Source organism: Homo sapiens, chromosome 1, assembly GCF_000001405.40.
Source record: "Homo sapiens chromosome 1, GRCh38.p14 Primary Assembly".
NCBI lineage: Eukaryota > Metazoa > Chordata > Mammalia > Primates > Hominidae > Homo > Homo sapiens.
Window position 1 is genome coordinate 105,587,239 of NC_000001.11, and position 26,002 is coordinate 105,613,240.

The 26,002-nt window shown below is 33.5% G+C and overlaps 1 long non-coding RNA gene across 2 annotated transcripts in view; it reads right to left on the reverse strand.

Moving 5' to 3' along the window:
• Nucleotides 1–2,455: 2,455 nt before the first annotated feature.
• LINC01676 (long intergenic non-protein coding RNA 1676) overlaps nt 2,456–26,002 on the reverse strand; it is a 29,242-nt gene continuing 5,695 nt past the window's right edge. The window contains exons 2-4 of one of the 2 annotated variants that reach the window (NR_125955.1): nt 18,697–18,851; nt 16,925–17,027; nt 2,456–2,547 (exon numbers count right to left, since the gene is read on the reverse strand). This is a non-coding gene — a long non-coding RNA (long intergenic non-protein coding RNA 1676). Of the gene's footprint in view, nt 2,548–14,913; nt 16,321–16,924; nt 17,028–18,696; nt 18,852–26,002 lie in introns of those variants that run through there. The other variant, NR_125954.1, reaches the window with a different exon arrangement.

Sequence of the window (26,002 nt, forward strand, 5' to 3'; positions counted from 1 at the left end):
AAGGTTGAAAAAAATCTTAGTGAGATTTGAGAAGACAAATAAAAGTTACTGCAACAATAACATTATCTGACTGTGGAGGAAAAAAATAATGCCTCTAATCTCTCTCCTACCAGTAGGGGAAGGGTGGTAAATGAAGAAAGGCCTGGAAAAGAAAGAATCAACTATGAAAGACTATAATGCATCTGGACAGTCCCTAAGGAGGTTTAAGAATCTTCCTTTTTTTCAATGACGTGTCTGTATTGCCTTTGATAGTAAATCACAGTTGCTGTTTAATAAAAGTTTATATTAAATTCTCTACTGAGCACTTCTTAAATGACAAAAGCAAATGGCAGCATATACTCTCTAGAAAAGTGATGTCTTTATTTGTGGAAAAATGTAATTTTTGTAATAATGGCTGTGTAACCACTCTTCACCAAGCTAAAAGCAGAAGTTTTACACATGTGCCTCATCTTATTGCCTAGTAGCTGCCTAGTTTATTTTATGGTAGCAGCTCTTGGGTGTTAATCAAATCTGAAGTTCTCAATGCCCCTAGTACCAACAGTAGCCCATATTAAGTGCTTAAATGTATTTGTTGCAAGATTGGATAACTGAAGTGTCCTTTGGCTTAGACCTGAGAAATGAAAGATAAATATGTAAAATAAAAACATTACTATTTTCAATTCTTCAAAGATAAATCAGTAAATAAATTATAAGACCACTAAAATGTATTCCTATTATATGAAACCTAATAGTTATTTAAAATTGCTCCTCCATTTTACATTTACTATTTCTTAAGCATAAGAAAAGTCAATAATATCCTTTGAGAATTAGTCACAAATGCTTAATATTAAGTGTATAGAAAACTTTCTTTCTGTGTAAACATAATCTTATAATACTTAAAAAATAAAGTCAAACAGTGTGTTATATATGAAAAACACTATATGCGTTTGCTTTTTTGGGTCCACACTTTAAAAGATACTGGAAAAACACTTAGAAGGTCACTGCATTAAATGTTTTCTTTTTTTTTTTTTTTTAAGGCAGAGTCTCGCTCTGTCACCCAGGCTGGAGTGCAGTGGTGCGATCTCAGCTCACTGCAAGCTCCGCCTCCCAGGTTCACACCATTTTCCTGCCTCAGCCTCCCAAGTAGCTGGGACTACAGGTACCTGCCACCACGCCCGGCTAATTTTTTGTGTTTTTAGTAGAGACGGGGTTTCACCATGTTAGCCAAGATGGTCTCTATCTCCTGACCTCGTGATCTGCCCACCTCGGCCTCCCAGAGGGCTGGGATTACAGGTGTGAGTCACAGCGCCCAGCCTAATGTTTTCTTACTTATTAGAAATGTGGACTTGGAAATAATCCAAAATGTTAATTAAATTTATTTTAATTTCTAGGCAAAAAATGTTTAAATTTTTGTGTATCTCCTCATTTTCAATTGTCACTGGAGATTGACTTAAAACAAGCTTAGTAACAACTTTGTAATAAATGATCCCAAATTTAGAAAATATCTACCCATGTGTGTCTAATGTGAATGGCCCCTTTATGCCATAATTTAAACAATTTTTTATCTCTAAGAACTGTTACACTCATAACTGTAGCATATAAAGAAAAGGCCAATTTGTGTCATTTGATGAAAGCAAAACAAATATTTAAATTATGGATATAATATTTTTCACATAAGAATTTTAACATACCATAGTTCAATTGTTACTACTTCTCACTCAACATTCTACATGCTTGAAATTTGTTTAATCTTCACATATGGCACTATAAAATGTGCATAGCTGCACATGTACCTTATCTTACTGCTTAGTAGCTGCTTTAGTAGTAATTATCAGTATTTGCCTTATTTTACCGCCTAGTAGTTGCCTTAAAAGTTATTACTATTTTTCACATGAAGAATCTCAGCGCCCATAAGCACTGTGTAGACATAATCAGAATAATGTGAATTTGAGGTGCCTTTCACATGTTTAACACAAAGGGACAATATTGCTTAATACGTCGATATTGAACAACACCTTTTTTCAGGATAAGTTGATATAATATGTTCGCTATATGTTCCATGAGAAGCAATTTATAGTCCCAACTATTCTCTTAAAACCAAACTAGAGATACCATAATTAGTAGCTGCATTCAATGTCATCTACGAAGGTGGAGTTTCTTCTCCAGTTCTAGAATACGTGTTTGGATATCCAATGACCTGTTACATAAACTTTATAACTAAATATAAGTCAAATTTGTCGGCTGTGGCTCAACCCTTGGGATTCAAGTCAATTGTCTCTTATGACACATGGAGGCAAAAAGCAGTGTAATTGTTTTTCAGTTTTTAAAATGTGCTATAAATGTAGTGAACAAACACTTCAGTTTCCCCGGAAAAGTCTCAATTTATGCCTGCTGCAATGAAGTACCATAAGTGTCCCAGTTTGGATGATAAACAAGGTGGTTAACGCTACCCATAAACTCACTTCTGATAGTGTAGTTGTTATCATACTGACTTTTATTTGGAGGAGAAAAGTACTGCAAGATCAATGCATATTTCCTCAGATGTAGGAGGTGTCCTGAAATGGCAATCTGCAGAAAATGGAAGGGTAAAAACACAGAAGTTTGAAAATGGTGACCAAAATTAATAAAGGGATGTATGATCTCCTAAATACCCCATAAAATGTTCTTGAAGTAAAATTTCACAGAACCAACTAACTATATAGGCAGGCACTATTGTTTACAAATTGATTCACAAACTGTAAATGTCAATGGGTGAATGAGCTCTCAGAGCATTTCACAGTGCTAAGATTAAAATACATGCTACTTCTCTGATTGCTGTAAACAGTAGTTTTTTATTTTATTGCAGATCTTTAACTCTACTATTCCAGAAATGACAGTTTTAAAAGTGTCATAAAAATGAAATTTCAATACACTGTCAATCATCCTGATTCCATATTGACTGAAGAAGAATAAAATCCACTTCTCAAGAATTGGCTTATTGTATGCTCGTGTCTTATAATTATTGTCTCATTGATTCTGCCAAAAGAGAGTTAATTGAATTTTAAGCATATTGAAATGATGTTTTTATTCTGACAATATCTTTATTCCTTACAAATAAATTTAGAGCATAAACAAGAATATATAAAACAATAGTTATTATTCATACTTCCCATGAAATATGAATATTTGATTACCTCTGTGACTTAGATGATTTATACAACATATGTATTGATTGAGATTAAAAATTAGACTGCTTAAATCTATTACCTGTTTTCTTATTCCTTATCAACATTCCTGATCATAATTTCTGGTGTTGAAATACTACTTAGAAAATTTTTAAAATGCAGTCATTTTAAAATCCTGTGCTTGAGGATAGGAATATGTTCTAAGAAATTCATTGTTAAGAGATTTTTGTCACTGTATGAACATCATAGGATGTACTTACACAAACCTAGGTGGTGTAGCCTACTGCACTCCTAAGGTATATGAATAGCCTACTTCTCCTAGTTTGTAACCCTGTACATTACATTACTGTACTGACTACTGTGGGCAGTTGTAGTAAGACAGTGGTACTTACCATTGTGTATATAAGCATAGAAAACGTCCAATAAAAACATAATATTATAACTTTATGAAACCACAGTCATATATGCAGTCCATCATTGACTGAAACATTCTTATATAGTGCACGGTTGTACCATATTTATAATAAAAATATTGTGATTAATATTAACTTAATTTTTTAAATGTTTTTGGCTTTAATTACTACAATGTCACTTGACTTATTTTTCTATATACTCTTGTGTCAAGGCTAGCCTGTTAATTAAACTGTTTTAAGTTCCAAAAAAACTGCAAATGCAAATTCTATCATTTTATTCACTAAATTATCAAATAATTTATTCCAATAACACATTTACTTGATCTTCTCTTTAGATGACATTATAGTTATTAAGGTTAAGGTGTGCATTATGTTTCTATTTTATAATTACAAATATATTTAATCTACCAATGTATTTTAAACAATATAAATTATACTAACATTAGTTGCTTCTGAAAGACTCTAATAACATATTCTCATCACTAAATTTACAAGATACTTTGCTAAATTTATTTTTTTATAATACATATACATACACACACACTGTGAAATTTTGTAAATGTAAAAGTATAAAGAGAGAAATTAAACTGTCCTATAATGCCATTTATTTATAAATAACTAACATAAATATTTGCATGTTTTCTGTCATTGTTTTTTCGTAACTGTTGATGTATTTTATACTGTAGACCTTTTATGTGATAGCTTTTCTGTGATCATATCTTCCTTTTTTTAAGTAGATGTCAATGTCTCTAGTGTCTTATAATTAGAAGCCTATGTCATAGACAATAAGGGTGGTATTTCTACACAGTTTTTCCTCTGCTATCAGTAAGCCTGCCACTTATTGAACTTGAACCTGAGCTCATTTTCCATTTTGATATGCCAATTACGAGCCTAAAACAAGTAACTGTAAATAATACCATTTAACATTTAGAACAGTACAGAGTACAGCTCTCCAAATGAGTTTAGCAATACTTAGAGCCAGATTTGTTTGTGACAATGTAAGTTGATACTATTGACATTTAGGATGTGAACTCAAAGGAGCTACACATCCTGCAATGTTCTGGTTATTTCCTACCAAAAAGACATACTGCTAACATTGAGACACAGATGGGCATTTAAGAACAAATGTTTTTACTTAAAAACAAAAAAAAAAAATTTGCCTTGCTCAAGATACAAGAATGTATTCCCAGGAAAATATATGTTGGCTCTAAGTATCTTTCCTCTTTTGCATGGTGTTTCAAATTATTTCTCAGCTATGCTTCATTGATCATGATTGGAGTTATGACATTTTTCCTAACTGCAAAGAAGGAGAAACATTTCTCCTCCATTTTCTTTTTGGCTTTGATGTTGTCAGTGGATTCAAGGAACAGACGTAAAACAACTGATTTTTTTTTTTTTTAACCAGAAGCTTTAATCTCTACCAGAGAAATCCTTTTAATACATGAGAAAAAGTAAGTGGAAAAAATGGCGCAATAATTATTCTGAAGATTGGGGATAGAATGCTGGGTATATTCTGGGGAAAGAATGTAATTTCACATATGTCAATAGAGATGTATGTGTGGGAATACTTACCATATAATTATATTAAAATGCATAAGATTATTTTTAAAAAGCATCCAGAATAATTGTGGAGCATGTTCAGTAATAAGAAGTGAAGTTCTTCAACATTTTAAACTCAAGAAACATAGGTGGATCACCTGAGGTCGGGAGTTCGAGGCTACCCTGACCAATATGGAGAAACTCCATCTCTACTAAAAATACAAAAATTAGCCGGGCGTGGTTGCTTATGCCTGCAATCCCAGCTACTTGGTAGGCTGAGGCAGGAGAATCGCTCGAACCCAGGAGGTAGAGGAAATGCTGGGGAAAGAATAGGCTATATTCAGGGAAGGGTCATGCCATTCATTACAGAAGAAAAGAAAAGGATGGATGTTACTGCCAGTAAATGATGACAACATGGAATTATATTATTCCTGCTTATTCATGCTATTTTCTAAAACTCAAATCTCTCTACCAAAATCTAGACTGTTATATTCAACTACATTATTAACTTTGCTATTTGAATGGCTGTTTTATTACCTAAATATTAATAAATCAAAAGCTGACTTTTTGACCATCACCCCCAAACCTGCTCCATCCACAGCCCCCACTTCAGTTTACTAAAACTGCCTTTACAGTTGTATAGATTAAGAACAATGGAGTCATTCTTGACTCCCTTTGCAATCCATGTTCAGTCCATCAGGAAATTGTATTGAGTCTGTTTTTAAGAATATAAACAAAATATGACCCTTCTTTATCTCTTCCACTGCTATAATCCTGGAACAACCCACCATGAGTTATTACTTGGATTACTGTAATAAGCTGCCAATTAATTAATGCTCTTTGTTTTAATTCTTACCCCAGAAAAATTGATTCTATTGCAGATAGTCTTTGAAAAATAAATGTGATACTGTCATTCCGCTCAAAATGTTGCAATGTTTTTTCGTGTCATGCAGAGTAAATACCAGATCTTGTAATTGTCTTCTCTGAGACCTATCTTGGTAATTTCCCCTTTCACTCTGTTCTGAGCACATTGGTATCCTTACTCCTCCTGCAATACTCTAGGCACACTTTCACCTTATGATGCATGCACTAGAAATATTCCTGGAACACACTTAGATTTTATATTGTCATGAATAACTTCTTCATCTCTTTCAAGTCTTTACTCACATGTTACTCTTTCATTGAAGGTTATAACTAATCACACTAGGGATATTACTCTTTACTTATACTTCTGATTTATATTACTCTTTCTTTCTTTTATTCATGTAGTTGTACTTCTTTCTTTTACTTATATAGTTATCTTTTATAACAAGATACTTTATTCAGTGATATAGCCTAAGTGCCTAGAACAGGGTTCTACACAGGACAGGAGCTCAGGAAATAATCGTTGAATAGGTGAATGAATATGAACCTGAGAGGGAAGGTTATCCGCAGAGAGTGATTTAATGGCTGCTTTTCAATCTTCGACATGTTTTTCACCACAGAGCTTTTGACACAGTTAGCCTTGCCTTCTACTTGGAAATATTTCTCCATATAATCAAGGTTTCTTTCCTACCACTTTGGAAACTCCACTTAAATATGTTTCTTGCCTTTAAAATGTTGAAGAACTTCACTTCTTATTACTGAACATGCTCCACAATTATTCTGGATGCTTTTTAAAAATAATCTTATGCATTTTAATATAATTATATGGTAAGTATTCCCACATATACATCTCTATTGACATATGTGAAATTACAGAGTCTTGCAAGTTGTAGCTGTAACTGTAGCTGGATATCTTCACTTAAATTTTGTTGTCTTTTTAATCTCCATACTGCTAACCAGTTCTCTTATTTTATCCTATACAGAGAAGCCATAATCATATATTTAACATGTAAATTAACTTTTGTTACTTTCATCATACATATAAAACAAAGAATGGCTTTTATACTCAGCTAAGTCCTCCATGATTGGCCTACACCTACCTCTCTAAACATATTTTCTACAAATCTGATTCTTACTAAATCTGCTTAAGCCACAATGGCTTTTTCAATATCCTCATCTCAGAGTTGTTTCAGTTATTGTTCTTACGTCCTACTGTCCCCATAATTTATCCTAGTACCTGTTCACATGATACTTTCCTAAATGTTTCCTCCCTACCTAAAATTGCATCAACTTCTATTTTTCTCAGCCAGCACTAACCCAGTTGAAAATAATACCACATTTTTGTTAATGTGATTGTTTACTCCAATTTTCTATTTTCTCATCAGGCTTCATGTGGGTAAGGATCATGACTGTTGCATTTTTCTATAAAAAAATTTTGGTAGAGGCCGGGCATGGTGGCTTATGCCTGTAATCCCAGCACTTTGGGAGGCCGAGGCGGGCGGATCACCTGAGGTCGGGAGTTCGAGGCCACCGTGACCAATATGGAGAAACTCGGTCTCTACTAAAAATACAAAAATTAGTCGGGTGTGGTTGCTCATGCCTGCAATCCCAGCTACTCGGTAGGCTGAGGCAGGAGAATCGCTCAAACCCAGGAGGCAGAGGTTGTGGTGAGCCGAGATTGCACCATTGCACTCCTGCCTGGGCAACAAGAACAAAACTCCGTCTCAAAAAAAAAAAAAAGAAAAAAAGAATTGGTGGCCATTATCCTAATTCACTTACAAGAGAGAACATGCAGTATTTGGTTTTCTTTTCTTATAAGTGACAGCTAAACTTGTATATGTTTGGACACAAAGAGAAAGAGAAGAACAATAGATGCCAGAACCTACTTGAGTTTGCAGGGTAGGAAGAGAGTGAGAGTTAAAAACTCTCCTATCAGGTACAATGCTCACTACATGGGTGATGAAGTCATTTGTGCACCAAAGCCCAGAGAAATGCAATTTACCCATGTAACAAACGTGCATACCTGCGTATATACCCTTAGAACCTACAATAAAAGTTGAAAAAGAAAACATATATATATATATTTTATGTATGTATATATATACATACAATATATATTTAGTCTTCTTAAGTCATATATATATTTATATATACATAAAATATATATGACTATATATAGTCTTGTCTTATGTATATATATTTATATATACATAAAATATATATGACTACATATATAGTCTTAAGTCTTATGTATATATATTTTATGTCTTAAGTCTTATGTATATATAAGTCTTATGTATATATATATTCTATGTATATATGTATATATGTGTATTTATGTATATATTTATGTATATATATTTCTTAAGTCTTATGTGTATATATATATTTTATGTATATATATGTGTATATGTGTATTTATGTATATATTTATGTATATATATGTCTTAAGTCTTATATATATATTTTATTATATATACATATATACTTTTATATATATACATAAAGTGTGTATATATATATTTATTCTCATATAAAATAAAGAATGCTTAAGAAGAGGATGGAATGCCATAAGACAGAAGATAAACAGGTATTTCAAGGGTCTCCAAGATCACCTTCAGGCTCAGTGATTCACTAGAGGCACTCAGGAAAGTTGTTATACTCATGCTTACATTTTTTTTTTTTTTTTTTTTTTTTTTTTTTGAGACGGAGTCTCGCTCTGTCGCCCAGGCTGGAGTGCAGTGGCGGGATCTCGGCTCACTGCAAGCTCTGCCTCCCGGGTTCACGCCATTCTCCTGCCTCAGCCTCCCAAGTAGCTGGGACTACAGGTGCCCGCCACTACGCCCGGCTAATTTTTTGTATTTTTAGTAGAGACGGGGTTTCACCGTTTTAGCCGGGATGGTCTCGATCTCCTGACCTCGTGATCCGCCCGCCTCGGCCTCCCAAAGTGCTGGGATTACAGGCGTGAGCCACCGCGCCTGGCCTCATGCTTACATTTTTAAGAGTGAAAGAATACAGATTACAATCAGCAAAAGGAAGAGGTCTGTGGGACAAGGTCCAAGTAAAACCAGACTCAAGCTTCTAGGTGTCTTCTGTTGGTAGAGTTTCAATGACCTGTTTAGATCTCCCAGCAACAACTTGTGACAACACATGGAAAGCTAAAGTGTTATCAATCAAAGAAACTCATGAAGCTTTGGGTGTCCAAAGTCTAAATTGGAGGCTGACATGTTTTGACTGTGTTCCCACCCAAATCTCATCTTGAATTGTAATTCCCATAATCCCCACATATCGTGGGAGGGATCCAGTCTGAGGTAATTGAATCGTGGGGGCAGTTACCTCCATGCTGCTCTTCTTGTGATAGAGAGTGGGGTGCTTTTATAAGGTTACCCCAAAATTTGGAAGCAACTTTGGACTTGGGTAACAGGCAGAGGTTGGAAGAGTTTAGAGGGCTCAGAAGAAGACAGAAAAATGTGGAAAAGTTTGGAAATTCCTAGAAGCTTAGTGAATAGCTTGGACCACAATGCTGATACTGATATGGACAATGAAGTCCAAGCTGAGGTGGTCTCAGACAGATAGGAGGAATTTGTTGGGAATTGAAGTAAAGGTCATTTTTACTGTGTGAAGAGACTGGTGGCATTGTATTCCTGCCCTAGCTATCTGTGGCACTTTGAACTTGAGATAATTTAGGGGACTTGGCAGAAGAAATTTCTAAGTGGCAAAGCATTCAAGGGTAGCATAAAAGTTTGAAAAATTTGCAGCCTGACAATGGGATAGAAAAGAAAACCCACTTCCTGGGGAGAAATTCAAGGCTGCTGCAGAAATTTGCATAAGTAACAAGGAGCTGAATGTTAATCACCAAGACAATGGGAAAAATGTCCCCAGGGCATATCAGATACCTTCACAGTAGCCCCTTCCATCATAGGCTCAGAGGCCTATGAGGAAAAAATGGTTTCCTGGGCTGGGCCCAGGGACCATCTGCTGTGTGCAACCTAGAGACTTGGTGCCCCATGTCCCAGCCACTCCAGCCATGGCTAAAAGGGGTAGAGGTACAACTCAGGCTGTGGCTTTAGAGGGTTCAAAAACCAAGCCTTGGCAGCTTCCACATGATGTTGAGCATGCAGATACACAGAAGTCAAGAATTGATGTTTGGGAACGTCTACCTAGATTTCAGAGGATGTATGGAAATGCCTGGAAGCCAATGCAGATGTTTGCTACAGGATGAAGCCCTCATGGAGAACCTCTGTGACAGCAGTGGAGAAAGAAAATGTGGGGTCATAACCCCAGACAGAGTTAGGTGATAAACCCTGACAGACTCCCTGCTTGCATGGCCTTGTGGAGCTGTGAGAAGAGAGACATCATCCTCCAGAACCCAGAACAGTAGATCCATCAACAGCTGGAACTGTGCACCTGGAAAATCCTCAGGTACTCAATGCCAGCTTGTGAAAGTAACTGGGAGTGGGGCTGTACCCTGCAAAGCCACAAGGGAGCCAAAGCTCAAGGCCATGGGAGCCCACCTCTAGCATTCACCAGACCTGGGTATGAGATGTGGAATCAAAGAAGATTATTTTGGAACTTTAAGGTTTAATGACTGCCCTATTGGATTTCAAACTTGCTTGGGCCCTGTAGCCTCTTTGTTTTGGCCAATTTCTTCCATTTGAAATGGGTACATTCACCCAATGCCTGTAACTCATTGTATCTAAGAAGTGATGAACTTGCTTTGGTTTTACAGTCTCATAGTTCGAAGAGACTTGCCATGTCTCAGATGACATTTTGGACTTGGACTTTTGAGTTAATGCTGGAATGAGTTATTACTTTGGGGGACTGTTGGGAAGGCACAATTGTGTTTTAAATTATGAGGATATGAGATTTGGGAGGAGCCAGGGATAAAATGGTATGGCTTGGCTGTATCCTCACCCACATCTCATCTTAAATTGTAGTCCCATAATCCCATGTGTGGAGGGAGGGACACAGTGAGAGGTAATTGAATCATGGGGATGGTTACCCTCATGCTTCTGTTCTTCTGATAGTGAGTGAGTTCTCATGAGATCTAATGGTTTTATAAGGGCTTTTTTCTCTTTGCTCTTTACTTCTCCTTGCTGTTGCTATGTGAAGAAGGATGTGTTTGCTTCTCCTTTTGCCATGATTGTAAGTTTCCTGAGGCTTCTCAAGCCATGCTAAACTGTGAGTCAATTAAAGCTCCTTTCTTTACAAATTACCCAGTTTTGGGTATGTCTTTATTAGCAGCATAAGAGTGGACTAATATAGGGGCCTACCACATAGGCATCTAGTCGCTGCATGACTGACTTCAGCTACTCAGGTTCCAGTCCCTTAGGATGAATACATTCAGACACCATAAATCACAGTGTAAGCATAAATTACCTGATCACACTGGTCCTTCAGGACCAAAGCTTTAGGGATACATAAACTCACTTATCAAACAAACAAAATATTCTAAGGTCTCAGAGATTATCTTTTTCCTAAACTGTCAAACTACTCTGTTTTTCTGAATATGTAGAGTTTGAGCAACCTGCACATGCTGATTTAACCATTTCCTCCAGAAAATTAAGTTTAAATAGAAGGAGCTACTATTTTTTTTAGGCTTTGATGTTCTCAAAGTACAGGTTTTAAATAAATAAAACCTCACTCTTCATGGAACTGATATGTGCAAATTTCAGTTTCCATGATTTAGAGAAAATAACACCATTCCCCAAACAACAAAGTGCAATTTTTAACTACCACAAAATGTAAACTGTAATTGCACAAAGTATAAACTTTGCTGCTGGTTCTGCAGCCCACAAATTACCATGTATGCAACAGAGTCATGTCCTGATCAATGACTAATCACGGCTTTTCTTGTGATTCAGTTTACACACAGATAACAAATGTGTAGTGTTGTTCCCTTTTCTCCGAGTGATAAGCTTACATGACATCTTATAAAAATGAAACCATATATTATATCCATAATACCATTATATATTAATATAATATAGTATTTTAATAGAGTATAGTGTATATTAGTTGTATAATACCATTATTGTATTATATACACTATTGCCTATGTAAACAAAAAAGTATCTGAGAAAAGTCTCAATCAATTTAGAACGTTTATTTAATATTTTGCCAAGGTTAAGGACATGCCTGTGACACAGCTGCAGGAGGTCCTGATGACATGTGCCCAAGGTGGGGGGATACAGCTTGCTTTTATACATTTTAGGGAAACAAGAGACATTAATCAATATGTGTAAGATATACATTCTTTTGGTCCAGTAATGTGGGACAACTCTAACTGGGGGCTTCCAAGTTAGAAGTAGATGAGAGTCAAAAGGTTGCATTATTTTCAGTCCTTGATTAGCCTTCCACTGAATACATAATTTGAGCTCTTGATCAGCCTTCCAATGAACACACAATTTAGTCTGGCTCAGTGAATCTGCATTTTTACATAAACAATAGGGCAGAGGAAGTAATCAGATATGCATTTGTCTCAGGTGAGCCTCAGAGGGATGACTTCGAGTTCCGTCTGTCCTTTGCCCAAAAGGAATTTCCTTGTGGGCAAATTGTGAGAAAGATATGTAGCTTTTTATATTTTAGCAATCATATTTAGAAATATAATGGAAAGTGTGTTTGTCTGACATAGTTCCCAGCTTGACTTTTCCTTTGGCTTAGTGATTTGCGGGTCCTGAGGTTTATTTTCCTTTCACATATATAATATATTATAATATTATATGTAATATCTATATAATATATAATATTTGTATAACACTATATAGATTTTACAGGTGAAATGACAGATTGTGGCAATGATGACACTGCCACTGCTTGAAAGGCTCTAAATAAGCAGCCAGAGTAATTTAGTGAAGGTGAACTTATCAATGTAAATAAAGAAGCTGATTACGGTAAAAGGCTAGAGATGACACACAGAAAGTAAAAACAACACAAAACTTCACATTCCTATAACTCTCAGAGATATTTCTTAATGTTGAAAGTGTAAAGAATAAAATATTGGGGGCTGATCCAAATTTAGAAAGGAATATAACAATTCTCCAAGACATACAAAAAGATGCTTGCTTAGTGGTGTAAGTTATACAACCACAAGGCAATCAATGTTCAAAATATTCTTGATGAGATTTTTTTTACAAAGAAAACAATTTTTTAATTTTAAAAATTACAGTGTACTAAATAAATATTAGTTTTACTATTTTTTTATTTCCCTATATATTTTATCACCCACACTAAGAGCATTTTAAAATTTTTAACAAATATTTTATAGGTCATGGAACAATCATAATTTTCCCCATTGATTATTAAGGTTTATTGCCACAGTTTCAGCTTTCATAGTAAATTTTTATGGTCTCACACTCTCATGCAAAGCAAAGTCTGTTTGTATCTTAAATTATCATAAAATTCTACTCGTTTTTGTCTTTCTTCTCCTTTACCTTATTGATTGCTGAAGGACAGGACTTCGATTTGCATATTCCATATAATAAGTACCAGATAACAAAATTTGAATAAAAGTAAAATAATCCAATGAGCATAATTAATTTGCCATAGATGGGTAGTTAACACTGAAATAAAATATGAGATAATTGAATAAAAAATATAAATGTCTCTGCCATCCTGGACTTTTAAAATGTATTTATCTCATTAAAGCAAATATGTACCTAAAAGACTCAAACAGTTTAACTATATTCACAGGCCCCAATTCCCTAATTACTTTCCACCTGTGCATGCCATTCTGCACTTTCTCACTGTATCTCTATAAAATAGCATTTTTTTCCCTTAAGCTCCATATATCCTAAAAATGCGTAGAAGATTATATCAGTTATCTGTTGCTACATAACAATTTACTCCAAATTGATCACCTTAAAACAAAAGTTTCTAATGACAGAATGCTGAATGTGGCTCAGCTGAATATCTCTGGCTAAAGTTTCTTGTTTTTTCAATCACACTGTTGTCCAGGGCTGGAGTTTTATCTGAAGGGCAACCTGGGGAGGGTGGAATGTCAAGTTCATTTATTTGGTTCGTGGCAATATTTAGTTCCTCAAAGATGTTGGATGAACAGCCTCAGTTTCTACCTGGCTATTGTCTGGAGCCTCTCACTTCTTGCAATTTTAGACTTTTCGTAGGGTATCTCACTGTATGACAAATGTCTTCCCAGAAAGTGAGCAAGCCAGAGAGTGAGGAAGAGCACCTTAGATGAAAGTCAACAGTCAATTTTGTAAAGTAGTCTTCCAAGTAATGTCTCATTATATATGCAGTATTTTATTACTTATTAGCATCTCAAAGAGTCCAGGACACACTCAAAAAGAGAACATTTCACGAGGTACAAATACCAGAAATAGAGATATGTAGGAGCCAATTTAGAGACATCTTATCACAAAGGCTTTTCAGATTTCAATTTCAACCTATTGATATTTGGGACAGCATCTGTGTATTTATGGGATTTGGAATCTGAGGGATAAGATCTGATTTTTTTTTTTGGCAAGCCTCTTGCCTATCCATTACCAACAGTCAAAGGGGAAAATATTGGCCTCTATATCATCTTCCATTGCACACAGGCCCATGAAGAGTTTATGGGGAGACTTTGAGCTTGCCAGTGGTGGTATAGCCAATTGAAAAATACAATTTACTTGAAAATATAAATTCTATAAATTATCCAGAGAAAAATTAGTTTGTAATATCTAGAGGTTATCAGAGAATATTGTTTTTCAACTTATTTTGATTTACTACACACACATGCATACACACAAACACATACATATATGAAGAGATAATCTACGATTAATTTTATAATTAAAGTAAAAGTATTAAGGACTTCCCCAAATCAGAGGTTATTCAGTCTAGGTGAGGAAAAAAACATGATAAACTTTCAGGATATCAAAACTAGTCGAAGATATTTTTCTTTATTCTCTGATCAAAACAATATTAAAGAATCATGAAATGTAATGCATAGAAGATTCAGTATTATGCTATCTTATTCTTTTATATTAAAATACTAAGTATAATTTCAAAATGAATATGGATGAGGAGGATTAAGTCATTTATTAAACTAGCAAAAATTACTGAAAAAAATCACACCTCCATTATCTTATGTGATGCTAGGTAGAAAAGTATTAACATAAAAGAGTGAATTAATTATCTCAATTAGACATTCCTGTAAAATTATAATGACCTCCTACTAATACCAAATATAAATACCATTAATAAAATGTTAATGGTATAAACTAGGGAAAGGCTGTTGTCTGGAGCAGACGATAATATCATGGTCTTGATTTGTTATAATTTAAAATAAAACATATGAATTTAGGATAGCTGGCTGGCTTGAAAATAGGGAGAAGCCCATAAATAATTTTTTTCTCAATGCAATCAACAGTATATAAAAGAAAAAGTCTCCAAAACCATAATAGTTTCCTTTTGTGAATTGTGTTTCTGCACACATTGTCAAAACTTCTTAATCCAAAATTGAAATACATGTTAATATAGGAGGAAAATGAGTTTTTGTTGCTCCGTCTGTTGGTTTTGGGATCCTCCGGGAAAAGAATGCTTTATCTGTGCCCAATGCTTGCTTATGCCCTTTAAATATGTAAATTTTGATGCTGGGTAAAAATTATTATTTGCTTGAAGCTGCTTTTATAATTCAAAACTTTGCATTTGATATTTTTCAATTGAAAGATATCTTTTTGTTTTATAGTAACAAAATTAATCAATATACAGCAAAGTTTTTGACAGAGCCTATTCTCACTGGAAACTTGTAAGCTTCTGTATTTGTAGCAATTCGAGTACTTTATCTATTAAGAAATGTATACATGCATTAATACAACTTGTTTGGATAGGGTGGAACCATTTCAGAATTCACCAAAATTCTATTTTTTTTCATTCTAACTGTACATTCACCAACTATAGGTGAATATTGGTGCTTTAAAATGTAAACCCTTAATTTGGTTGTTTTGTTTTATAGATTATTTTTTATAAAATCATATACATCTTCAAGCTGTTTTAGCATATGATGAAAGATAATAGATGTTGGATGAAATTTTAGGTGCACTGAAAGCTTTGAACAGAACTATAACTGATTGACTCACTTAAGAATTAAACTTGAGGCCAGGAGCGGTGGCTCATGCCTGCAATCCCAGCACTTTGGGAGGCCGAGGTGGACCGATGGACTGAGGTCAGGAGTTTGAGACCAGCCTGGTCAAAATGGTGAAACCCCGTCTCTACTAAAAATACAAAAATAGCTTGGCCTGGTGTCAGGCACTTGTAATCCCAGCTACTAAGGAAGCTGAGGTGGGAGAATTGCTTGAACTGGGAGGTGGAAGTTGCAGTGAGCCGAGGTCGCGCCATTGTACTCCAGCCTGGGAGGGAAACTGTCTCAAAAAAAAAAAAAAAAAAAATTAAACTTGAGGCTTTAATGGTGCCCCACCCTGCTGCAATAGACTATTTAATATATTTTTCACCAAATAAATTTATTATTTAATATTTTGTTCTCACTTAAACCTTAAAAAATTACAAAAACTGCCTCTTGTGGCTATTATTTTTGTCATATTTAATATAATTTCAATGTTTTAGAATAAATATATAAACACGTTTATTTTTGATAGTAGAAAACAATGAACTGTTTTCTACATTTATTTAGGTATATTCTTTAGTATGCTTCCATTATAATTTTAAAAAATTAATTTTTAAATATTTAGTTTCAAGCAACAATTATTAGAAAATGTTTTGTACACTCTATTTGAAGATATAGTTTCTAAAAATTCTTCATGTTCTAAAAATTCTTCATGAATTTAATATGCTGATTATTCTTACAATATTTTTTTTACTTATGGCTGCTTTGCAAAATATAAGATAATTTATCTTAGATTATCTTAATATATGATTAAGGACAGAGAAAATTTAACTTGATCAAAAACATAGGAACTGATTTATACATTTTTAAAAATCGACTTTATTGGATCTTTGGAAACTTACCTTTTTCCTCTGAGTGGTTCAGTTATGCAGACTTCTGCATTGCATAGGTATTTTGTTCCCATATATTTTCTCATTGCAACTCTTTTCTTCAGCATGTTCTATCCTTATTTTAAAAGGGGATTTTAGAATGTTAGCAGTTTGAATTTCAATAATGCGGTTGCTCGGAGAGGGGAAGGTATTCTAAGACACAGGGTCTCTCTTTTTTTGAATTTAAACTTTGAGTACAAAGGCTGAATAGGAAACCTACATGTCTTCATTATTACCTCTTTGGTAGGGTAAAAAATCCATACCTTGAATATGGATTCACTATTTCACTAAGCAAAATTTGAGTTTTATTTCTGTATTCTATTGGCAGGAAAATAAAATTTTTATAAATAAATAACTTTTTAAATGGAGAGAGATTTCTGAACTTATTACCTTTAAGTTTTTCATTATCCTCTTACTGAGGTGCTTTGTGGTGCTAACATTTTAAAGTCAAAGGATTTTGCTGAACCCAAATAAAAACATATAAAGATTTCAAGAACCTATTTTGGATTTTTAAATAGTTATATTTAGTTGAAGAAATTTAAATTACCTATTTCTACGTAATCTTTTTATGTAGCCACCATGTACTATGTTTGTGTATGTTTGCAAATGTGTACATATATGTAAAGTTTATGAAAAGTATTCCATATTACTTTAGTATTTCTCTTCTTTCTATTACTTGCTTTTATTTAATTCAGGTGAATAATGTGTGTGTATGATATGGTTTGTCTGTGTCCCCACCCAAATCTCATCTTGAATTGTAGCTCCCATAATTCCCACGTGTTGTGGGAGGGACCTGGTGGGAAGTAATTGAATCCTGCGGGCAGGTCTTTCCCATTCAGTTCTTGTGATAGTGAATAAGTCTCACAACATCTGATGGTTTTACAAAGGGGGTTCCCCTACACAAGCTTTCTTGCCTGCTGCTGTACAAGATGTGTCTTTCTTCCCGTTTACCTTCTGCCATGATTGTGAAGCTTCCCTAGCCATGTGGAACTGTGAGTCAATTAAACCTGTTTCCTTTATAAATTACTCAGTCTTGGGTATGTCTTTATTAGCAGCGTGAGAACAGACTAATACAGTATATTTGCATGTCTATACACACACACACATATATATATATATAACTATTTAAACTTATGTCTATAATTTTATATACAATTACATTTTACAGCCAGGTGCGGTGGTTCACGCCTGTAATTCCAGCACTTTGGGAGGCTAAGATGGGCAGGTTACGAGGTCAGGAGCTCGAGACCAGCCTGGCCAACATGGTGAAACCTCATCTTTACTAAAAATACAAAAATTAGCCAGTTGTGGTGGTGGGCGCCTGTAATCCAAGCTACTCGGGAGGTTGAGGCAGGAGAATTGCTTGAACTCCAGAGGTGGAGGTTGCAGTGAACCAAGATCGTGTCACTGCACTCCAGCCTGGGCAACAGAGCAAGACTCCCTCTTGAAATAAAAAGAAAAATTACATTTTATTATGCATTTGGAAAGATAGACTAATTCATAAATAAAAAGACTAAAATTATTAGTACATGCCAAATTACAACCTGTCTTTCTTTTGTCACACACAATATGTACTGAACAATTGAGAAGATGATTTTATTCAGGCTATTGCAATACAGCAAACATTCATAAATGGCAAACATCTTAAAAAAAGAAAGGAGGCTTAGAGTAGTATAGCTTCAGGTACAAGGGAGTCATCCCCAAGATGTGGGGGAGTCATGGGGCAGAGTGACAGTAAGTCTTACCTGAAGAGTGGAGGTGGGTAGTTCTTGTCACATGTAAAAAGTAGGTGGTCCTTGGACACACAAAGTGGTGAACAGATATCTCAATTTTTGTTGTTTTCCAGAAGCACGATGATCAGCTAAAGTCCAGCATTGCCATATATTTGATAATTATTAACCTAAAAAGGAAAAGAAGGTGAAATTACATTAAAAGTTTCATTAATTAAATGAATCTTGGTTATGGCACTTGGAAAAAATAGCAAACTTTTTACCCAAAGTGTTTTATTGGACAAATGTTTCGCTGAAGGTATTACAGTTTAGCTGGAGTATACCTTATTTACTTGACTTTTAACATATATAAATAAAAGAGTATTTGGTTATTGTTGTGTCTATATAATGTCTTCTTTGAAAAAATATTAATTTAAGAGCTAATCAAGCTTACCATTTCAATGAAATGAGCCAAAAGACACAACTTAGGACCAAACTATCTCTTTAAAAATAATTTTTCTTTTTACAAACAAAAAGTGAGTTACTTCTCATGTATTAATCTATGTAAATTTCCAGACTTTGTATTAATATCTTTTAAAAATACATTAATGCTATTTTTATTGAATGTTTTATGAAACATTGAATACATCTAAAATCAACTAGTTTGCACTTAAGGACTTCATTATATTCTTTCAACTATATTGCTTCTAGAAATGTTAGTAACTTGTTCTAAAGAAGTATATAAAATGTTTATTCTGTATGTAAAATGTTAGTGTAAAGTACAATGTATTTTGTAGCCTACTTAGTATTAATCAGAGGAGTAAAATGTAACAATATTAGAATGCTAAAAGAGTCATACTAATACAATAAGCATGTTTTAAATTCATACAAGAAAGTTGAAGATTAAAAGTATATTTCAGGCAGTAAGATCAACACGCTAGGTTAATATAATAAGATATTCAGAATTATGAGAATCACTCCCCATTTCATCAATGACTATATTAGACAAAATGGAGTGCAGAAGTTATTGGCTACGATGTTTAAAAGGATGAAAGCCGAGAAAGTATAGATTTATGATAAATTCTGAAAACAGGAATCTACTGGAAGATGGGAAATGTATTTACTTTTATATTTTTATTTATTTATTTTGAGACAGTCTTTCTGTCGCGCAGGCTGGAGTGCAGTGGCCTGATCTTATCTCACTGTAAACTTCGCCTCCTGTGTTCAAACGATTCTCCTGTCTCAGCCTCCTGAGTAGGTGGGATTACAGGTGTGTGCCACCACGCCGACTAATTTTGTATTTTTATTAAAGACAAAGTCTCACCATGTTGGCCAGGCTGGTCTCAAACACCTGACCTCAAATGATCTGCCTGCCTTGGCCTCCCAAAGTGCTGGGATTATAGGCATGACCCACTGATCCAGGCCAGAAGATGGGAAAAGAACATTTAGTGAGTAAGAATTCAACGAATTGCTTAAATATATTAATGTATAATCGGTGTAAGGCAGTATACAGCATTTCCAGTATAGGATTCCTAGTTCCGGACCTGTTTGTCTATGACACCTGTGATGTTGTGCAAAAGGAATATTAATAACTGCTAAACATAAAATTAGAATTAATACACTTACTGGATAAACACACAAAATATCTAAATGTGTATATATTAGTATTTTTATTAGAAGAGAAATTTTATAGATATTTGCGTATATGCATAGACTTAAAAATATATAAATACAGCTTATTTGGTACAATAACATCTGAATAATAATTTTAAAAGTACAAAAATAAAATTTCAAAAATGTATACACCTGAAAAACACTAGTCTTCTAAACTCTAGGGAACATTATTGCTTCATTTTGAATTTCTTCAAGATTTTTTAAATTCTTACCTCACTGGCTGTGGGCCCTGGCTCACCTGCACTAGATTTAATTTCAGAATAATAAAATATAATGCATTTTTTGCTTTTAAGGTTTAGTAAATTTTTAAATTAAATGTGGCCTCTGTGTTTTTTCTTTATTGAAATACTTTTAATTATTCTCTTTATATAGAGGTTTCTGATTTATTCATTTTTATTCAAATATCTTTTTGTTTAATGCCTACAATTTATCAAGCTCTATACTTAGACTATAATGATGAACAAGACTAACACAAGTGCTGTGCTAATGGAAAGCTTCAATATCATATCAAACATATATTTATTATCATGTAATTTATCACATAAATTATCACATGTAAATTATCACATAATTTATTATCATGTAATAAATTTCAATTATAATAAAGAATTGAATTTCAGCATTCTATGTGAAGAATTAACAGAAGAATCTATATAGGTTTGTGTTCTCACGCAAATACCCATATAAAGGAATAGTAAGAGTTAAATGTCTTTTCAGGTACAGAAAAACTGACTTAGAGCTTGAAGTAACCATGACAAATAAGGGAACCAAATGAAAGTCAATATAGCTAAGGTATGGAGAGTTACAGGAATAGATACGTGAAAAGATCCTAGAAAGTTAGACAGAAAGAAACCCCTGGATGGTATTATTGGCTAGATTTTGGGTCTGTTCAAATATCACTAGGAAGGCCTTGAATTGTTCTATACATCAGATGACCATCAGTTTTACATTTACAAAAGGAGATCTTAAAGAATGAAGAACAAATAACAAAGTAGGAAGAGTTAATTTTGAAACATCACTTAAGAGAATATTACAATAATCCAGAGGAGAAATGATGGCCACTTGACAATGAGGAACAAAATGGTGGGTGGGTTTCAGAGGTATGTATGATATAGAATAAATTGGATTTGTAATATAATTGATGTCAAATAAGAGAATCAAGAATAATTCCAGATTTGGGGCTGAGGGAAAACCATTATGTAAACCATGGTGTAATTTTCTGATTTAGGGAACACAGAAAATATATAAGTTTGGAGAGGAGATTTGTGTTAAATAGGTAGTGCTGTTGAGACAGTTCAAAGTGGATGTCAATAAGAAGCTCCATATTTAGGCCCTAGAGCAACCCCTACTGGATATATGAATATGAGAGCCTCACAAAGAGATTGCAACTGAAATAATGAGAGTAGATGCACACTAAAATTTTTTAAACGTCCACTATAAATTTCAGAAAAACTTTAATCATTAATGAATGTATACATGAAGAGAAGCTGACAAGAGACTACAAAAGAATGTCCAGAAAAATAGCAGGAAAACGTTAAAATGGCATTTTACGGAAATAGAAATAGAAAATTCAAGATAATATTTTTAGAGAAAAACAACGCCAACCTTATAGGGTACTAAAGTCAGGGCAAGGCAAATTAGGATTAAGGTATGTTCATTGCATTCATGATATGAGGTCTTTAATAAACTTGCTCCAGGTAAGTTCTGGAAGAATTATTTAGGCAGCCCCTTGAAGTGTGTTAAGGAATGGGTGGCTGATGAAGATTTGCAAATAGCATTTGTAAAAAACTTCATAGAAAAGTTTGCTTATGTTAACCCCATAATAGCAGTGTCTACTTTAATCCTGAGAAGAGTTATCAGATATTTACTAACACTATTTTATTTTTCTTTTACTAAATATATTAAGAATATATATGATGATGAAAGCTCTGACATTTCATAGTGGTTCCTTTTCTGAGTTTAAAAACTTATTTTTTCCTTTTGTTCGGTTTTTAGGCTTGCTTAATATTTACCAGTACTGATTTATATTAAATTTGATGAAGTCTTATAAAAATGACCCTTCACAAATTTTTCACAAAATGATCTTCAAGTCTAGACAAAAAGAAGGATGGAGAAAAAAAAATCACCAGAATCAATCTGCAGTTCAGAAATTCAGTAGCTTTGGGATGCTGGGAATCTCTAATGATTATTGTAAAAACTGGAGATATGAATAAGCAACCAAGTAAAGCAGCCATTGCACATCTTATTCCTATTTCCCACTTCTCAACTTTGTCTGGAAAACTCTTCCAGTAATAAACTGGTAATTACATCCAACATGATCTTTTTCTTATTCCTACCTCTCCTCCCTACTCCTATAAAATCTTTTCTGCAATAGCAACACTTCTTTGAGGGACAGAAAATGTGTAAGACTGAATATCAAGTAAACTGTCAAAGAGTGAATACGCCTTATCTAAATTGCTCTATTATAATCTTGAAGTATAAAGCAGATCAAGAATAAAAGTCCAAGAAGCAGAATAAACAAATAACTTAAGTCTCCCTTAATCCAGTGGGAATTGATTGATTGCCAATATTAAATTTACAATTCATACTAATATATAAATTAGCTATTTATTTCATTGGTAAACTTGTTTACTAATTTATCTAAATTCACAAGCACAAATGTTTTATCTAAAAATCTAACCTCCGTACAAGTGACTATAATTAGAAATATAATATATAAGATTTTAATTCAAATATCTCATAGTTATAATTACTTTTTTATTTTTCCTCACCACAAACAACTGCTACATATATCTGTAAATTTTGCTTTCTTTCTACCTTTCCCTTTGAGATCCTAAGTGTTCTATTACTAAAATTTACATTTCCCACATTGATAGATATTTGATAGGTTTCTAAGTTTTTGCTGTTATAAACATTGTTAATATGAGCAACTTTAAACATTTTTGGCATGCATATATGAGTATCTCTAATGAATATACATAAAACTGGAATAAGGAGTTACTGAGTAGGCATATCCAACTTTCCAAGATAAAGCATAATTATTTTCCAATGTGGCTAAGAAATTTAAACTCTTAAATATTAATATTTCACAACTTCCCACTATATTTTACTTGCTAATTTTTGGTACTTTCAAACTATAAGTTTCATTAACATAGTGGCTATAAAATTATATTTATGTAGTAATTTTTTGCATTTTCTTTATCACAATTAAGGTTCAACATTTTCATATTGTTATTTAATAGTAATCTACTCCCTGAATTTAATTTATTTTTTAAACCTGGGTCTTGCTAGATTTCAAAAGTAACGTTGTTTAATTAATTGTTGTAATTCTATCTTATACCACTTGTTTAGGTTGCAAGTCAGTCCAATGAAATGAATCCATGTTTACTCTGTATAATTGATTTCTAAGTCTTCATGAATAAGAAACACAAGTTATGTGCTATTTTTATGCTAGCATTATACACTTTTTCTCTGTGTGTTTGTATACATATGAAATGATATATTTGGGTTCAAAAATTAGGATTATAAAGGGCTTCCAAGGATGCAATTAAGCATTTTGTGTGCTGAGCATCTTTGTTGATGCTAGTGGTTTCTGTAGCAGTGTTCTTCCAAGTTAAGGAAACATTTTTTTAAAAGGCAATGATTTGTTTACAAGATACACAGAGCTGGGGGCTTTGTGGAAATAAATGAGGTCAGGAATTTGAGACCGGCCTGACCAACATGGTGAAACCCCATCTCTACTAAAAACACAAAAATTAGCTGGGCGTGGTGGCGGGCGCCTGTAATCCCAGCTGCTCGGGAGGCTGAGGCAGGAGAATAGCTTGAACTCGGGAGGCGGAGATTGCAGTGAGCTGAGATTTTGCCATTGCACTTCAGCCTAGGTGACAGAATGAGACTCCATCTTAAAAAAAAAAATCAAATTAATGTAGTTCTGTATGACAAAGTGCAGTCTATACACAGATAAATATAGATGCTGTGCTCTCTAGACAAAATGGAAAATAAAAAAAAAGGACAGTATGTAATCCATCAATGAAGAAGCTGGAAAAATAACCACACATGTCTAAAACACATGGAAAAGAAGAATTAAAAGGCTTATTCCAGACCTGCAAGGTGGCGTCAGGAAAATAGGGATCAAAAGGCCCAGAAACGTAGAAATACTTAAAAGAACTGTTCATTTTCTGTTGTTCAAGGTTGTTCTCTCAACTAAGGTAGCATTTTATATGCTCGTTTTATATACTGTGGATTATCCCTATGACGTGTTTGAAGCACTTTAAATCTTGGTAGATTCACGGATGTTTACTACTTTAATGTGTGTAACTCTGTGTTGTCTTATCACTTATCTTAGTCTTCTGCATTCATATAAGAAGATAAAATTACGCTTATATGAAATTGTAATGTTACCTAATTAAATGTTTCCTTCATGGGATCAGGGCCAATGTCTGCTTGCTTACTAGTCTATGTTCAATGTCTTTCTGGATAATTACCACGTTAGAAAACTTAATAAATGTTCATTGAGAAAATAAAAACTAAAATAATTGTTGCCCATTATTTATTATCAAATTATATTTATATATAAATAAGAATAAAAATTAAATTGTATTAAAATTAAATAATCTATAGCCCCTGTAGGGTAAATCCCATGTGATTTTCTGGCTGTAAACAAAATAGGTATAATCCCTAAGGAATAAATAATTGTGAAAGCAAATGTGAATGAATATATTTTACCAATGGAAACAATGTCTTTGAAATATCAATTATATCTGGAAATAATTGGTTTAATTTAGTTTTAAATTATCAATTATGTAACACAGGGTGCAAGCAAGTCTCTGTGTCTCTGTCGATATTTCCGAGAGAGAAAAAAAAGAGAAACACCTATTCTAACTTAAATCTGATCTTTACTTTTGTTCTTCAAATTAAGTCCTTCCAAGAAAAAATAAATATAAAAGTCCCTTAGGGTTAATAGAATAACTCAAAACATAATCCCAACAACACAGCACTTTTAAAGCTATTATTTACTGAAAACTTGTACTAGTTGCTATGAAAATAATCCTTATTAAGTTCATGTGTAGAGATAACATTTAGTGTAATTTAACCAGAAATGGTGTAGAATAACACAGAAGAAAAATAAAAATTGAATTTTGATGTGAAAATTTAACTAAGTTGTATTAATTCTAATAATATGTATTATCCATTGTCAGTGTATGGTAATCAGATTATTTCTTTATTAGAAAGAGCTCATAAAATTGAAGGAAGCTTAGAGTAATTTTGTAAGTTCACTATGTTCTTGAAAACAACAGACTTACAGGGGAAAATATTCAACAACTTACTTAAGACTATCAGTTATCCTTCCATAATAACTGTGTCACCAGCTCCTGCAGAATGTCATAGAATTTTATTTAGAATGTTTCATTTTATAATTTGTTTTATCCCATATATTGCAAGACATTAAAATATTAACAAATGTACATGGTTTCGATGAATACCAGCATACATTTTCAATTTGCAAATTATAGCTCACTTAGAAGTTGTAAGGGATTATTTTCTATGGATAAATAATATCATTTATAATAAAGTTTCAAATTATTTTCCTCAGAAAGGTTGAAGTAACTTTTTGTTAATTAACTGCTATATCAGAAATGATTTAGCTAAAAAAGCATGAATAATTTAT